The sequence below is a fragment of the Homo sapiens genome, chromosome 10, assembly GCF_000001405.40.
Source record: "Homo sapiens chromosome 10, GRCh38.p14 Primary Assembly".
In the NCBI taxonomy this organism is placed as follows: domain Eukaryota; kingdom Metazoa; phylum Chordata; class Mammalia; order Primates; family Hominidae; genus Homo; species Homo sapiens.
This window is the reverse complement of record NC_000010.11, coordinates 35,439,361-35,455,917: the sequence shown is the minus strand read 5'-3', so window position 1 is coordinate 35,455,917 and position 16,557 is coordinate 35,439,361. Positions and strand designations below refer to the sequence as shown.

The following is a 16,557-nucleotide window of genomic DNA, read 5'->3' as shown; positions in this document are numbered from 1 at the left end:
GAGCCCAGGATTTTGGGGCTTCAGTGAGCTATGATTGTGCCATTACCCTCCAGTTTGGGCAACAGAGTGAGACCCTGTCTTTTTCTTTTTTTAAAAAAAAAAAAAAAAAAAAAGGAAGCATCCCTTGGAGCCATCAGAGGATCACTAAGATTTTCTGATCTGTTAACCACATAAATAATGTTCAATAAAATATGCCAAGAGCCATGGGCGTGGCACTGTGGTCCTGGTTCATGTTCTCTCAAGACCCAGAGAGAAAAGGGGAGAGGAAGGGAAGAGGAGACAGTGAGCACTGAGCCTTATGAATGTTCGGTCATGTCGAAGATCCTGAGGCTCTCAAGGCCACACTGTGCACTTGAGGAAACTAAAACTCAGAGAGGGTCACTTGCCCCAGGTCCCAAGGCCATTGCAAAAGAGCAGAGATTCAGAACCACCACCTCCCACCAAGCCAGCTCACCTGCTGAGCCTCCCTATGCTGGCTCAGTTAACAGTGACCTCATGAAGAGCATTCTCTTCCCTTGTTTGATGGAAGTGGAGGCAGGGCCCTCTAGTAGATTCCCTGTGCTAGAGAACAGGAGTAGAAAAATCCACATTTATCTGTTGTTTTCCTACTGTAATCTGCCAAGTTTGGTAAAATTTGATTTTAAAGGCAGCATTTTTTTCAGCATTCAAAGAAATCCAAGATCAACAATATACTCTTATTTTCTATTTTTAAGCTCCAGTCAATCAATGTGACTAGGCTGAAAATAGGAAATGCTACTTGTTGGCATGATATAATGAACCTGCTCTTTGGGAACAGAGTGTTGTCTGCTATTAGCTTTGATTTCAATGATGGTTTCACCTGGTGAGGGGAGGCAGTATTTTCTTCCACAATTAGAAATGTCCATGTGAGTTAATTAAGATGAAGCCCTTCAATGGTTATTGTATGGAATGGAAGGTACACTGCATTCAGGGAAGGTTTTCAGGTTCATCAGGCCCTCCTGAAAACTCTCTAGGCAAAATCTCTTTCCATTTGGTATTTGCAGCTGGTCACATCACCCTTCTGAGAAGTTACAGTGGGGCAAGGTTTGTTGGAAGTTACTGCCAACTTCCTTCCCAAGCACTCACTGGCCTTCCTCTTACCCTGGCAGAAGCATCTTGGTAAGGAGGACAATTCCACAAGAAAGCCAGGAAGAAAGCTGCTGCCAGAGAGCATACCCGCCTCCAGGCTTACTAAGGATGCTATGCATGCACCACCTCCCCGGGCACCTCATGCAGGGCCCCACTGGCTGGTTAAAGGCAAAGGGCAGGCGAAGCCGCTGAGGTTCACAAAACCCGAAGGAAGCCATCGGACTGACACTTTTAACTGATCCTTCTGGGAGCTATGGAAGATGCTCCTCTGCTGATGGAAAACTTGCTTTCCACCCCTAACTCTACCAGGCTCCAGGTTTTCAAGGGGCAAATGTCAGAGTGCAAAGCTGCATTTCACCCTGGTTGACTTCTGCCTGTGCCACAGTTCCTGGTGGGGGGTTCACAGTCCATTCCAGGTGAACAACCTTTGGTAAACCTGCGCTGAACCGCTACGGCGGAGTCTTTCCTGCAGATCATGTGCCTCTCTTCTGGATGCCTTTGCGTCTTCCAGGACAACAGAAGCTGAAACGGCTTCTATGCTGCTGGACTGTGAAACCCTGGACCTGGGGGCCACCCAGAAGTGACTGTGTCCGAGCTTGACCACTGGTAGTTGCGTGCCGTTGGGCAGGGTACTTAGCTTCCTTATTTCTCACTCAGGTACTGCCAGGATGAACGAGTACAAGATTCCCACCCACACACAGGAAAAGTAAAAGCAGTCAGGGAAATAAGCCATGTGTTCCTCTGGATTCGCCGCCTGTCACAGTACAGTATAGTGTTTTTCAAACTATGAGTTGGAACCTCCAGGAGATTATGAAATCCATTTAGAGGATCATGACTCATCTTTTTTAAAAAATGGAATGAAACAGAAAGTTCAGAATATAACATTATGAAATGCATAAAGACAAATATTGTTTCATGTGTGTTTACCAATAAGAAACCAACTGGATTCAAATATAAATTTTTTTTTTACTATAGGTCTTAGTTTAAAAATTGGCAAATCATGTATATAGCAGTAAAACATCAATATGGTTACTAGAAATATTGCCCAGCTATTTCAATATACAAAGAGCCTTAAAAAAGCCAGATTTTCTTTCACCTACTGATTAAGATTCTTAAAAGTTTCTAATCACTTGAAAGAAGTAATTTAAAGGAGTAAAAAATAAGCCTACCAAATGCTGCCCAACTTAGATATCCAATAAGCAGCTTTTGCTAACTCAAATATTAGTATCATGTATTAATACCTTGTCATACAGTAATTTTGTAGACTGCACCCAAAACTTTTGAGTCATTAGAATGCCTGCTAGGATTCTACCTTGCTGAGATGATCTGATGTTCAGAGGAGGCTTTAGACACAAAGATGTTCATTACCATATTGATTATAAAGGAAAAAGAAAACAACAACCTATATGTCTAGTAATAAAGGACTGAATAAGCGGAAAATTTCCCACATGAAAAATTATGTAGTGATCAAAAATAATAATCAATAGTTTTTATAAACAGTTCAATACATTTGTAATTGGAGAAATACTTCTGTTTATCATGCTAAGTGAAAAATATATAAATTTTATATACAGGACTAGCCACAATGGCTCACATCTGTAATCCCAGCACTTTGGGAGACCAAGGTGGGAAGACTCCTTAAGCCCAGAAGTTTGAGATCAGCCTAGGCAACAAAGCAAGACCCTATCTCTATGAAAAAATTAGTTGGACGCTGTGGCTGAGACAAGAGGAATGCTTGAGCCCAAGAGTTCCAAGTTACAGTGAACGATGATTGTGCCACTGCAGTCCAGCCTGGGCAACACAGCAAGATCCATCTCTAAAAATAAATAATATTTTTTTTAAAATGTTCTAGACAATGTCACCACAATTATATGTCATACAAATTTGGAGGGTATGGGTTTTATTGTTTTGGTGACAGTGGTTTTAGACAAACCCAGCTTTTAAAAAACAGAAGAAATGAGACATAAAAGGTCCACAGTAGTTCTCTTTGTAGGAGACAAGCACAATAGCTTTTTTCCATTTTTTTTTTTTTTTTTTTTTACTTTTCTATAATTTCCAAATTTTCTCTAACAGGTAAATTTTACATCCAAAATGAAGAGAATGATATAACCTTTCCTTTTAAGTATACTGACACATACAGTTTTTCAATTATCATTAAATTTCCAACCTCAAAGGACAAGAATTTTATTCTGAAATGGTGAGAACCTCAGCAGTCACTTAGAGGGAAAGGAAAAGGGGCTAGTATGAACACCATGAAATGGTAAAACAAACAATAAAAATTACACGAGTAAAGGTTAACTCTATTTACCTCTGAATAGGAATACTGTTTCATTCTAAGATAAGCAGGATTATGCTTGGTTTAAGAAAGACCAAACCCAGTATTATTACTGATCTGACAGGAACTAAGAAGCTGTTTGGACATCTGAGTAGGAGTTAAAAAGTTTGTATTTCATTTCTCATTTCTGTAGCATTTAATGACCTGAAAGTATATGCAGAGACCAACAAACAGTCTTAGTTATAGAACAAACTAGTAATTGCAGAAATCACTCCAATCACTTGAGCCTCAAGTGTGGAATGCAGTATAAACTACTGTCTGAAGACATCTTCAACATCACAGTCAACAACTGCAACTTCAATATGTAAAAATCATTATTTACTGTATGTTCTCTGGTACTCAACAGCAAAAAAGGCAGCACTTGCTCCCATATAAATTAATTCAGGTAGGAACAAGAAGAAAATTACTAAGCTAGTAAACAAAATATTAGTCTGACCTTGGCATACATTACTATTTGAACTATTAAAGAATAAAAAAAAAGTGTCATATTAAATACTTCACTATAACACAAAGTTGAAATGAAATTGTGAGTGAAGGAGACTGGCAGAGGACACTGCCAGGCCCAAAGTCACTGCCATTCAAGCCAGTGTGGAATGTGTGGCTCGCCTGGGTGACAGCAGCAGGACAGGCATGCCCTGACCGCTCCCCCTGCCCCTGCCATGCGTGGAGGTGAGGTGGTAATGACCTGCTGGGCTGCACTGTTGTAGAGGGTAAAAGACATGAACCCCGAGCCTGCCCTGGTTAACAGGCCCAGCCCCGTGTGGCCCAGGCACTATGGGGGACTGGCCTCAGGAGGCTCCTGGGCTTGTGGGTGTCCATTCTCAACCCGCCTGGTAACACTGTATTGTTGAGCCTAACCAGCTCTGTCTAGTGCCATACAGAATTGGCCCTCACAAAAGCACCAACAAAAGAGGAACCAAACCAACCAAAACCTGCTCAGAAGTGCTCTGGGTTTCACTCACTCAGCATAGCCTTCAGGCCATACTCAGATATCAAAATAAGCCTTCTGTTCATCACCAACTTTCCAGTCATTTTAAGACGACATGGAAAATGACCCACCCATTCTGGTCAGAGGCACTTGGTAACATTTACAAGTGCCCAAGTATACATGAAGAAAGCTACAGATAATACAGCAAGTTCTGCTCACCAAGCAAAACAACTACACCCAGGCAGTATCAGTCCATGACGGTGCAAATCCCATTTCTTCTTTCCTTCTCTGACTCTTAACTTGTTTTTGTAAAAAAGGGGGAAGAAGTGGGAGAAGATGATTTCACAATTTATATAAACACACATGCTAATTCTGGGTCTTCTTGAAGTACTTATCAGTAGTTCCTTCTCTGATGGGAAATACACATTTATTCTGCCTAACACTCTTCAAAAAATACTAATTTGCATTAGGTATAAAATGTATTTGTTTTAAAGGTACAATAAATAGATAAAGTTTTAAAAACCAAAGAAATTTGAGATCATGGGCACAAAAAACATGCTTCATAAACCAACAAAATAGAGTTTAATTCTAAAACCAAAGGACCTTAAAGCTGAGCCCCACACCCCTTCTTTTAAACAGTCCCAGAGGAAGTAGCTGCTCCAAAGTCACAGGTGCTGGTGACAGGAAGGCTCCCAGCCCACTGCTCCATCACTGTCATTCTCCAAAACAGAGGACAGAGAGAAAGTGAAAAAATTATGTCAAAAATATCTCCCACCGAATTTAAATAAATAGGCATTTCTTATTAAGAAATACTGATACACAAAAGGTAAAAGAGAAAGAAAAAAAAAAAAGAAAAATCTCCTGGTAATACTGGCCTCCCCAAGTGCCCCATGTCCAACATTCAGAAATAAAGATGTAGCTCCACAATGATGGGAACCCGCAAGATGCCCTTCCCAATGTGCCAGCAGCCTCAGAACCACAACCTTTCCATCAGAAGAAACGCTTTATCCCCACTTGGCTGTCAGCTCAAGAAGCTGACAACTCCCAGGCTGTCCCTTAGCAATCAAGCTCTCAGCCCAGAAAACTCCAAAGAGCCTCTAATGCCATCTCCCAACTTCCAAAACCATCCCAGGGAGCACACATCCCCAGCACAATGTCCTACATCCTCCACACACTGCTAAAACCCAGGATGCCACTGCCCTGCAAGGCCTGGTGTTTTAATCTTAACCTCCACCCTCTCCCTGTAAGTCACCAAAAGGACTCCCTGCTCTCAAAGTTGAGCAGCCCTTTTCTGAGCCTCATCTCCTACCTTCCCAACTCACTCCCTGACATCCCAACCCTGTAAATTCTTCCACCCACCAAGACCACAAAGCCCGATTCCACCACCTCTCTGCCACCCCTCCCCCTGCTACATCCTTGCTTTCTTCTCTACCCGACTCAGAGCCACAGCCTTGTAGTCATATTGGCTCCCTGGTGCTCTCACGTGCCACCACGTTCCTCTGCCCTCCAAAGCGCTTTCTGGCAAATCCCAGAGCTGATTAAATCTAACTCCCCATCTCCTCTGCCCCAAGCAGCTGTACACAGCTGGAGGAGATGCAGAATCCTGCTGACTGGTCCCACCGTAAACTCTTGACACCCTACTCAGGTAGGCCCTGAGTGGTGCGAGATAGCATCATTGGAAAGGCCCTTTTTGTCTCTCCCCCAACCTCCAACACTCCCTGGCACTCTCAACTTACTGTCCGTTCAGCTGAGAAGACAGAGGCCAGGAGAAGCACTGCAGCCTTCTTGCCTCCATTGTGCTCACCCTGCCATCTCTGCTCCCTGCACCTCTCTGACCTGTGGTCCCTAAAAAGGTACCTCCCTGGGGCCGGCCCCCCTACTCGGCAATGGATCCCTGCCCCTCCCACCCTCTCTCTCCTGCATCATGCATTTCCCATCAGCACAGGCACGCGTAGTAATTACTCTCATTCCAAAAACCGAACTACAGCTCTCAACCAGCCTCCCCCTCTGCAGCCTTCCCTCTATTTCTTTGCTTCCTGTTCAGCCAGGCTCCTGCGTGCTCCAGTTCCTCCTCCCTGTTCTCTCTGGAACCCTGCCCAGTAGGGCCATTGCTCCCACCCCCAACTCTCCAGCTCTTACCAAGGCCACTGCTAATTCAATGGCCACATCTCAGTCCTTATCTTACTAGAGATGCCCACTTTCTCCTCAAAATGTCTCCCTCGCTGACTGCCGGGACCATCTCTCTCTCTTCACCCCCCTCCCTGCCCCTATCTCTGCCCCTCCTCAGCTCCTTCTCACACACACCTCTGCTGCTTCCTTGTCCCTTCCCTCCTCGCTGCGTGGTGACCTCAGCCACAAGACTGTAATGAATACCCTCAGTATGCCAATGGTTCCCATGCTATTATCTCCAGCACTGACTCCACTGAACTCCCATGCTGCCCGTTCAGCTCCCCTGTTGACTAACATGTAAATCAAAATCAACAGGCTCAAGACCTGTTCCTTCCAGTCTACATCAGTCACTAAGGAGCAACTCCACCCTTCAAGGCCTGCACTCATCCTCCACCCTCGCTATTCCCACCCAATGCAGCCAACCAGCAAATCCCCTGACCTTGCCCCTTGACATGCCTCAGGGTCTAACCCACACTGCACCCCCTGGGGATACTCCATTGTCCATTCTCTCCATAGTTGCCACAGGAATCCTGCCAAAACTGCATTAGGAGCACGTCTGCTCAAACTCCACATTGGCCCCCATTCTAGAGTGCAAAGTACTCACAGTGGCTACAGGACTGGACATGCCCTGCCCCTGCTGCCTCTCTGACCACTCCCCTCCATCCCCCACACTCCCTCTGCCCCTCAAACCCACCAGGCGCATGCCCACTCTGCTGGGAAGGCTCCTTCCCCAAGGAGTCACATGGTTCAGCTCTCATATCCTTCAGGTATCTGAAGGATGTCACCTTACCTAACAGTAACACCATAACATCCCTTTATATAAGCACTGTCCTAATACCTAACACATAGTAGTTACATGGCAGGCACCATTTTAAGAATTTTACACATGCCAATTTATTTAGTACAACTCATATAATAATAATATTACCCTCATGTTACCTATGAGGAAAGAGACATAGAGAAATTAAAGGGCTTGCCAAAGTCACACGGCAAGTAATGGGAATTCGCATTCCAACTCAGGCAGCCTGGCTCCAGAATTTCTGCTACACCGGCCCTACCCATGTCCCCACCCTTAACTTCCTGCTTTGTTTTCTCTCCGGTCTGCTTTGTTCGTGACTGCCCTGGGGCCCCAGATGGTGTCCAACAGAGAGCAGGTACTTGGCCATTACTTGTTGAATGAGTTAAAGAACGATTCAATCACACTGAGCCACCTGTTCCCCTCCAAAGCTGTCATCAATCTGCTGCTGTACAGAAGTCACCAGATCACAATTAAAATGCGAGCCGCTGGTTCCCACAGTGAAGGCGGTCTCCTTCACTGGCTGGAGGATGAGACAGTGACCTGGTGCCAGCTGAGCCAAGGAGCACCAGAACAAGTGGCCTTTCTGATAGCTGAAAACGAATGAGGAGCTACACCATGAACGGCAAAGCACAGCCTCAAACACCTTCATCACGGGAAATGCCAGGGGCAGGCCTACATTTTTTGGTTAAAAGCATATCTTTTGTTTTCCTGCCTGTTATGCCTTTATCAAACTATCTGTGGTTTACAGCCACGTGTTTCAAATTCCAGACCAAGCACAAACATCCGACCTGTGCCAAACAGACTCAGCAAGCCAGAGAACAGAAATCACAGGAAGCCAAGAAACTCCCCAAAGTGTCAGACATGCCCATTATTTCTGGCATTTCATGGCAGAAATGCTACCCTTGGGTTATTACTTATAAATATTTCAAGCTACTGCAATGACACTGCTACTAAACAACACCTCAAACCTCTTGAAATCTTAGAAATTAAGATTGTATTTATATTATTTTAGGGTTTAGCAAGTTTTTCTTAAGAAATGGAAACGTGCAGGTAAAATCAAGAAGTGTGAGAAATGACAGAGATAATGATGATGATGGTCATAATCACCCCACTGTCTCAAGACCACAGTGGTGTTTCCCCATCATCTGCCCCTAAATATAAATAAAAATTGCTCTCTGGCTTACCACGTTATCGCTAGTAAAGCCTCCTGTCTTTTTGAAACATGATTACATTTGAAAGTCCTGCTTACAAAGCCACGTGTTAAACTATGGTTTTTCTAGAATTCAAACTAAACCAGCTTTCTTAGATGGAGTCTCGCTCTGTCACACAGGCTGGAGTGCGGTGGCACGATCTCAGCTCACTGCAAGCTCCGCCTCCCGGGTTCACGCCATTCTCCTGCCTCAGCCTCCTGAGTAGCTGAGACTACAGGCGCCCGCCACCACATCCGGCTAATTTTTTGTACTTTTAGTAGAGACGGGGTTTCACCGTATTAGCCAGGATGGTCTCGATCTCCTGACCTCATGATCCACCCGCCTCAGCCTCCCAAAGTACTGGGATTACAGGCATGAGCCACTGTGCCCAGACCTAAACCACCTTTCTTTAACCTACATGGTAACTATATGTTTTCCAAAATCTGTATAATCAATTTATCTAAAAATTACATTAGAAATTAGGAGACACTAATTTTTAAATCTAGAACTTATCTCGACATGCAATTTTGAAACTGTCAGGAATGAAGAGACAAATTGCTTATTACACTTCCGCTGGAGAACAACGAACAGCCCTGGGATGGTACCCAGAGGGCCATCAGCCCCACAGATCCCACAAGGGGCAAGAGGAGCAACCCAGCACTGTCAGTCTCTGCTCCATCCAGGATCCAGTGAGCCAGTGACAAGGCAGGGTTGGCAACAAGAAGATCATCACTAACCACAAAGACCCTGGCAAAGGGAAGCTGCTCATGAAACACAAACTGGATATGACAGCTTATTACAATTCCTGTCCATGAGTTCATGTCCAAATTCACACTATCCCTGGCAAATCTACACTACCACACTTTTACTAAAAGCAGGGACAGGACAAAGGAACAATTTCTTGCACACAAATGCATTCTGGAGGTCAGTTAATTTAGGACAATTAAGTACTATTTAAATGAAAGAAAATCTATATTTAGTGGGGAAAAAAAACTCCACATTTTTCACTGAGCATGTGTGTCCAGTATCTTCATCAAGGAGAATATTTTAGGCATTTGACATGTAAGTATTTTGAAGAGATTTTTGAACCTCACTGACCTGTTACCTTACTTCTCAGATGATAAAGTATTGTACTGTGGAATCGAACATTTAGTACTATTTTTAAAAGGCTGAAATAGCCATCATTTCCTTCCACCTTTTCTGTTGATCAGCAAACAATCAACAGAGACCAAAATCTGAAAGAACAATTATATTTTAGAAGTTTCCAGTACAGTCCAAGTCCCAAATTTCCTGTGTTTAATCCTCCCGTGAGACAAATAACCACAAAATGTTTAAGGAGGCAGGCAGAGTACTCTGGTTATTTTTAATAGATCTGCCCAACGACTTTTCTTATGAGAGTAAAGGGTGCTAAACGAAGCCTAAAGACCACGAAATATTTAGAAGTAAAAGCACCTACTTACTGTCTGCAACTTACTCTCAAATGGTTCAGAAAAAAAAGTAGTAAGAAAGAAAAAAATGATAAAGCAAATGTGGCACAGTGTTAACACTGGTGATTACAGGTCTACTCCAACTTTAAGTTTGAAATTGTTTCAAAATAAAATGTTAAAGAACAAGTATCAGCAGGATTATTACATAAAAGGATTATTTAAGATATGAACTACTTCCTACACCTACACACATGCTCCACCCCTCCTTCCCTCTGGTTTCCAAACAACCTCCGTCCTTTCCTAGTCAAGATCCTAGGAAAAGTAGTCTCTCACCTCCTACTCCTGGCTCCAAATAGCCTCAAAACATGGCTTCTGTCTCCCTCCCTCAATTAAAACTGTTCTCACCAGAGTCATCAATGACTTCCTACTTCCCAAATCCATCAGCACATTCCAGCTCTAACAGTCTTCCACCCTTCCTGGCAGAAATGCGGACTCCACTCCTGCTTCTCTGCTCAGTCTCTCCATGCAGTCTCTTCCCCTAACCCTTACATTTTGCCCCAGTTCCTGTCAGCCTTCCAGTGCACTGCCTTGAGAAGATTCTGAGGATCCCACAGGCTCCGTGGGAAACAGCAGTAATGGTTTAGTAATGTCTGCATGGGTGGAGAGTGGGAGGCAGAAGAGCAGGGCGGCAGCATGGCTCTACCTGGAACTTGACTTCCTTCTCTAAAGGCTCTCCTTCATGGGTAAACTCATCTCCTCCTTTAATTCCAACTATTTCTAATACCCACCAAAATCTACCTTTTAAGGGACACTCCTCCACTGACTTCCAGACCTACAGTGCCAACCACCCACAAGCAGTTCCATTTACTGTTCCACAGATGTGAACTCTTCTGCCACCAAAACATGCTCTTCTTTCCATAATCCCAAACTGAGTTAATGGCACCACTGATCACCCTGAAGCCAAACCACAAATACTAAAAATTTCCCTGATCTCTACTGTTCCCTCATCCCATATATCCAAATCTATTTGGAAGCTCCTCTCATTTCCATCACTGCTTCCACCACCTTGATTTAAGTCCTCATCATCTGTCGCCCGGACTATTCAATATCCTAGCATCTCTACCTCTCGCCTCCTCCACCCCTACATCCATTCTCCACGTTGCTTTCTTAGGATTACCTTTTCAAAATACAAATCTAATTTCATTTGCAAAAAATTTTAAAACAAAAATTCAGTCATGCACTGCGTAACGTTTTGGTCAACAGACTGCATCAATGACAGTAGTCCCTTGAGCTTATGATGGAGCTGAAAAACTGCTATCACCTAGTGACATCATAATGTAGTGCAACACATCACTCCTGTGTTTGTGATGATGCTGGTGTAAACAAACCTACTGTGCTGCCAGTCAAACAGTTATAGCCAGACACAGTGGCTCACAACTGTAATCCCAGAACTTTGGGAAGCCAAGATGGGTGGATCACTTGAGGTCAGGAGTTCAACACCAGCCAGACCAACATGGTGAAACCCCTTATCTACTCAAAATACAAAAATTAGCTGGGCGTGATGGCGCACACCCATAATCCCAGCTACTTGGGAGGCTGAGGCAGGAGAATAGCTTGAACCCGGGGGGCAGAGGTTGCAGTGAGCCAAGATCACGCACTGCACTCCAGCCTGGATGGCAGAGCAAGACTCCGTCTCCAAAAAAAAAAAAAAAAGCCAAAAAACAGTTAACTGTGAAACAGCCTCAGGCAGGGCCTGCAGGAGGTACCAGAAGAAGGCCTTGCTATCATGGGAGATAACAGCTCCATGAGTGCTGTCACCTCTAAAGCCCTTCAAGTGTGTTGGAAATGGGTATTCAATGTCGCAGAAATCAACCCTAAGACAAAGGATCTCTCAGCAAGGCTAATTTACTTTCTGCAGAAAGGGTGCTACTCGCTAGCAGTTTTGCCAGAGAGCACACACAAAAGAGACAGGGTCATTTATAGTCTGACACGTCCACCCTATGGCTGTGTCCAGTTTCCATTGGCTGGAATGGGACCTCACATTCTGTACTTGTCCTGATTGGCTAGCAACTTAGAACATCCCAAAAGAGACATACATAGAGGAGAACAAAGGAAAGGAGGAAGTAACTTGTGGAATGCTGAGAAAGGCAAAAACACCTCCAAATAAGGAAGAGGAACAGGCTATGACCTAATGCTTTCTTGGGCCTGTACAGGTATGCCAGGGGAAATATCTAGCCTAAAAGATGGGGGCTAAGAACACAAAGTATATTCCTTTCTTTATTACGGCTAGCAGATATTTAAGAATATTAGCACAGGTCTTTGAGTAAATTTTGCTTCTAAGAGAGGCTACTATTTATTCCCAATTAGACTGCGAGGAAAGTCCCTTTGAAGAGGAACCTCTACTTCATTTTCTACAGAGTGGGACAGAGGTGCTGGTGGAAGACAGTGATATTGATGATCCTGACCCTGTGTAGGCCTGGCTAATGTGTGTGTTTGTGTCTTGTTTTTAACAAAAAAGTTTAAAAAGACAATAAAAATTTTAAACCAGAAAACAGCATACAGAGTATGGATATAAAGAAAAAAATATTTCTGTACAGCTATCCAATGTGTTTGTGTTATAACTGTTATTTCAAAAGTCAAAAAGTTTTAAAAATTTAAAGTTTATAAAGTAAAAATGTTACAGCAAGCTAAGATTAATTTATTAGTGAAGAAAAATATTTTGTATCAGTTTAGTGTGGCCTAGGTGTACACTGTTTGCAAAGTCTCTGGTAGTATACACAAATGTTCTAGGCCTTCAGAGTCACTCTCCACCCACTTGCTAACTCACCCAGAGCAACTTCCAGTCCTACAAGCTCCATTCATGGAGATGGTAAACAGGCATACTATTTTTTATCTTCTATACCGTATTGTTACTGTACCTTTTCCATGTTTAGGGATGTTTAGATATACAAGTTCTTAACCACTGTGTTCAAATTACCTAAAGTATTCAGTCCAGTCAGATGCTGTACAAGTTTGTAGCCTAGGAGCAACAGGCTATACTATGCAGCCTACATGTGTAGTAGGTTAGACCATCTAGATTTGTGGGTAAGTACACTCTCTCATGTTCACACAATGACGAAATCACTTAATGAGACATTTCTCAGAAAGCACTTCTTAGAACATACCACCTTCATTAAGTGACACGACTGTATATGAAATAAAGGGAGAAAATAACACAAACCACATCAATAGCCCGTCCCGTAGCCATCCCCAGTAGTTTCTTTATTCATACTCCCAAATTCATTACTCATACTCTATATGTTCCAAACATGAAAATGTCTTCTACTCACCAAATACATCATGCTGTTTCATATCTCAGTATTTCAAACAGTTTTCCCTTAACTAAAAAGTTCTCATCCTACAAGCAAACTCCTACTTGTTTTTAAAAACTATTTTCAAATATCAAGTCTTGCAGGTAGACCACCCTAAACTCCCAACAAAGTACCTCCTATCCAGGCAATTTGTATGAGTCTCCGGTCTCATTATTTCACTACCTTTCAATTATAAAGCCATCTCTCCCACCACACTATGAGCCTGATGCACAGCAGATGGCTAATAAACTGTGAGTTAATTTTATGTCCTTTTAATGACTCACATTGCTTCTGCTTCAAAGTTCTAAGCTTAGCATTCAAGGTTACCTAATTTTCCCTTATTTAGTTCTATTTCTCCAACCACCACCATAAGCCCTTGGAGGGCAACCAGCACTGCCTCAGAGATCTGCATCACTCCAACGCAAACAGGGCCCTACACATCAGGAGTTATGGCAACACTCTGTGGGTCATGCAGGCTAAGTGACATTTCTAGCCAGCCCATGTGTTATACCCAGGTACACTTTCACTATTGCTTTACTAGGACTTTTAAGCTATTATTTAAAATGCAACAATGAATCTAAGTTCTTTCAAATTATGTCATCGTTTTAACTAAAACTATAAATGGGAACTTTTCCTTTCATACAGACTTTACAACAATGGGTATTCTCTTAAGTATGATCATTTTAAATCATACAGCCAAATTTGTTTTCCAGAGAAACACATTTTTATTTTACAATTAATACGTAATTAACTTCATTTAATGAAATGAACTTTATTAAAGACATCTACACCTTAAAATAAGATACACCAGCATGAACTCTTATCAAGTTTATGCTAATAACCTACTGCTTTTTCTTTTCTATTTTCATACAGGGCCTCACTCTGTCACCCAGGCTGGAGTGCAGTGGCACAATCTCAGCTCATGCAACCTCCGTCTTCTGGGCTCAAGCAATCCTCCCACCTCAGCTTCCCAAGTAGCTAGGACTACAGGCACACACCACCATCCCTGGCTATTTCCTTTTTTATTTTTAGTTGAGATGAGGTTTCGCCCATGTTGCCCAGGCCAGTCTCGAACTCCTGAGCTCAAGTGATCCTCCCGCCTCGGCCTCGCAGCCACTGCGCCCAGCCTCCTACCGCTTTTTCCATTGAAAAGCCCAATTGCTAAGCTAAAGCATAGTAATAATAGGGCCCTAAAATTAAGAAAACAAGAAACGTACACAATGCAGATACATAGGAAACTCTGTACCACTCTCTAAGGCCACAAACACTTAACATCAGGGAAAGCTCTTATTCATCTTGTCTCTGTTCCTTCCAAAATGAAAGTCATTTCAAAGAAGACTGCTTCTGCTTCTTTGCTAACAACAGTTTAAAGGCCAACTTGTTCTTGGCTTACAATGGTTCCATTCTGCAACATGGTAAAACAAGGCGGTATTCAGAAGAGGCCAAAACACCTGTCAGTGCTACAGACTCTCCCTGACCCTCATACCACATGGGGCCCCATTCTAGCTCCTTATGGGACTCTTCCTTTCCATTTCAGGCAAATGGAGTCTTATAAGTGGTGCTAACAATATAGAATCACTTCTGAATTGGCAATTGTATACTCTCTCTTCTAGAGAAAAACCCAAAGCAATATAATGGAAATAAGAGCACCCATCCTTAACTTCCCAGGTACACTTGTTAAAACAAAATGATGTGTGAAAAGAGATGTCTTAAAATAGCAATGACACGTGAAAATCTAGACTTCTTTCAGCTCAGTTTATGAGTTAAGACTACCTCTCTTGTAGCATAATTAACAAATGTATGTAATGCTTCTCAGAAGTAAAGATAAGCAGGGACTGGAGTCCCACGTGTGCAATTACACTTCATTCTACTTTGGAAACTGCTCTAGGCTCCGTCCTTTCTGCTGCCCAGAATCACTCTTTCTAGGAGCTGATTCTGAAGTTCTCTCCCACAGGTGATCACCACCACAAAGCTGTGCCCCGGACAGGGGTCTAAAACAGCAGAATACGCTGCAGTGAAGAAAACTTGAAGCTTATTCTGAAGACATCTAGCAAAGAGTCAGCACTAGGAGGGGTGGGAAGCAAGGGTCTGGAGGAGGGTAGGCAGATCCAGGCCAGGCTGTTTTCATAAGCAAAGCTGAAATGGAGCAGCCAGGCCTGTTCTCTTACATCTCATCTACGCTTGCCTCTGAGGTTCAACAGCAGAGTTGAGCAGTTCAGAGACCACTTGGCCCTTTCCAGAGAACCTCTGCTAACCTCTGCTCCAGAGTGGCCAGGGACACAAGGACATGAGAAACAGCACAGGGGTGAGTTCCCTGAGTTTCCTTTCTGCCTCACTTATCTCAGATAAAAGCTGAAGAAGGAGACAATCTGCAAACATGAAGGGTACAGACCAAAGAACACCTGCTCTCTCTGTCCAAAGAACAGAAAGGAGCCTGTCTAGCAAGACAGAACATTTTTAGATAATAACCACTCTACTCCACAGGCGCCAAAAACGACTGTGGCTCCAGTCCCATCCACACCAACAAAGGCTGAGTGTGAGGCCTAAACTTTTGCCATTGTGAAGTGGTAATGAGATGCCCCAACACCTCTAGGTCCAAGAAGGCCAAGTAGGGGGCCAGGACTTTCATCCTCCACTGCCAGTAATAACCAGCTCCCTACACTGCTGCACTATCAATGAAAACAACATGGAGAAGTGAGACTCCCACCAACTATAACAAAGAGCCCCAGCCACATCCCCTCAGTGTCAACAGCGGCTAAGTAAAACCTGAACTTCTGTCTCCACCTGGCAGTAACAAGGGAGTGGCCCACCATCCTCTGCCAGAGCAATGCCATAAGTCAACTAAAACAGAAGGTTTAAATAAGATCCAAAATGTCCAGGAGGTTTCAATTAAAAAAAAAAAAAATCACTCATCCTACCAAGAAGCTAGATCTCAAGCTGTACGAAATGAAGAACATACATGCCAGCACTGAGATGACAGAGATGTTCAAGTTACCTGACAGATTTTAAAGCAGCCATAATAAGACTCTTCAATGAACAAGGACACACACACACACACACACTTGAAACAAAAAAAAAGAGAGAGAGAGAGAAAGAGGCAGCAAAGAAAAAGAGGCTCAGCTCAGCAAACAAATAAAAACTATAAACAAGTACCAAATGGAAATTTTAGAACTGAAAAATATAACAACAGAAGTAAAAAGCTCAGTAGATGTGCTCAACAGCAGAACAGAAGAAAGAATCAGTGAACTGAAA

The 16,557-nt window shown here is 43.2% G+C and overlaps 1 protein-coding gene and 1 long non-coding RNA gene across 6 annotated transcripts in view, besides 2 other annotated features; one reads left to right on the top strand and one right to left on the bottom strand.

The window, feature by feature from the left end:
- Positions 1-16,557, bottom strand: part of CCNY (cyclin Y) — a 325,643-nt gene that overhangs the window by 116,750 nt on the left and 192,336 nt on the right. The window lies entirely within an intron of this gene.
- Positions 4,330-4,459: a silencer, noted in NCBI's record as "silent region_2307". NCBI's record gives its function as "represses an Ori minimal core promoter by ATAC-STARR-seq in GM12878 lymphoblastoid cells {active_cell/tissue: GM12878}" and the evidence as "EXISTENCE:reporter gene assay evidence [ECO:0000049][PMID:35858748]".
- Positions 7,219-7,889: an enhancer, noted in NCBI's record as "NANOG-H3K27ac hESC enhancer chr10:35736957-35737627 (GRCh37/hg19 assembly coordinates)". NCBI's record gives its function as "activates a minimal SCP1, AML or CMV promoter by ChIP-STARR-seq in naive H9 embryonic stem cells {active_cell/tissue: H9 hESC(naive)}" and the evidence as "EXISTENCE:reporter gene assay evidence [ECO:0000049][PMID:30033119]".
- On the top strand, positions 8,930-12,507 carry LOC124902410 (uncharacterized). The gene is made up of 2 exons (XR_007062112.1): positions 8,930-12,168; positions 12,323-12,507. It is a non-coding gene; the product is annotated as an uncharacterized LOC124902410 (long non-coding RNA).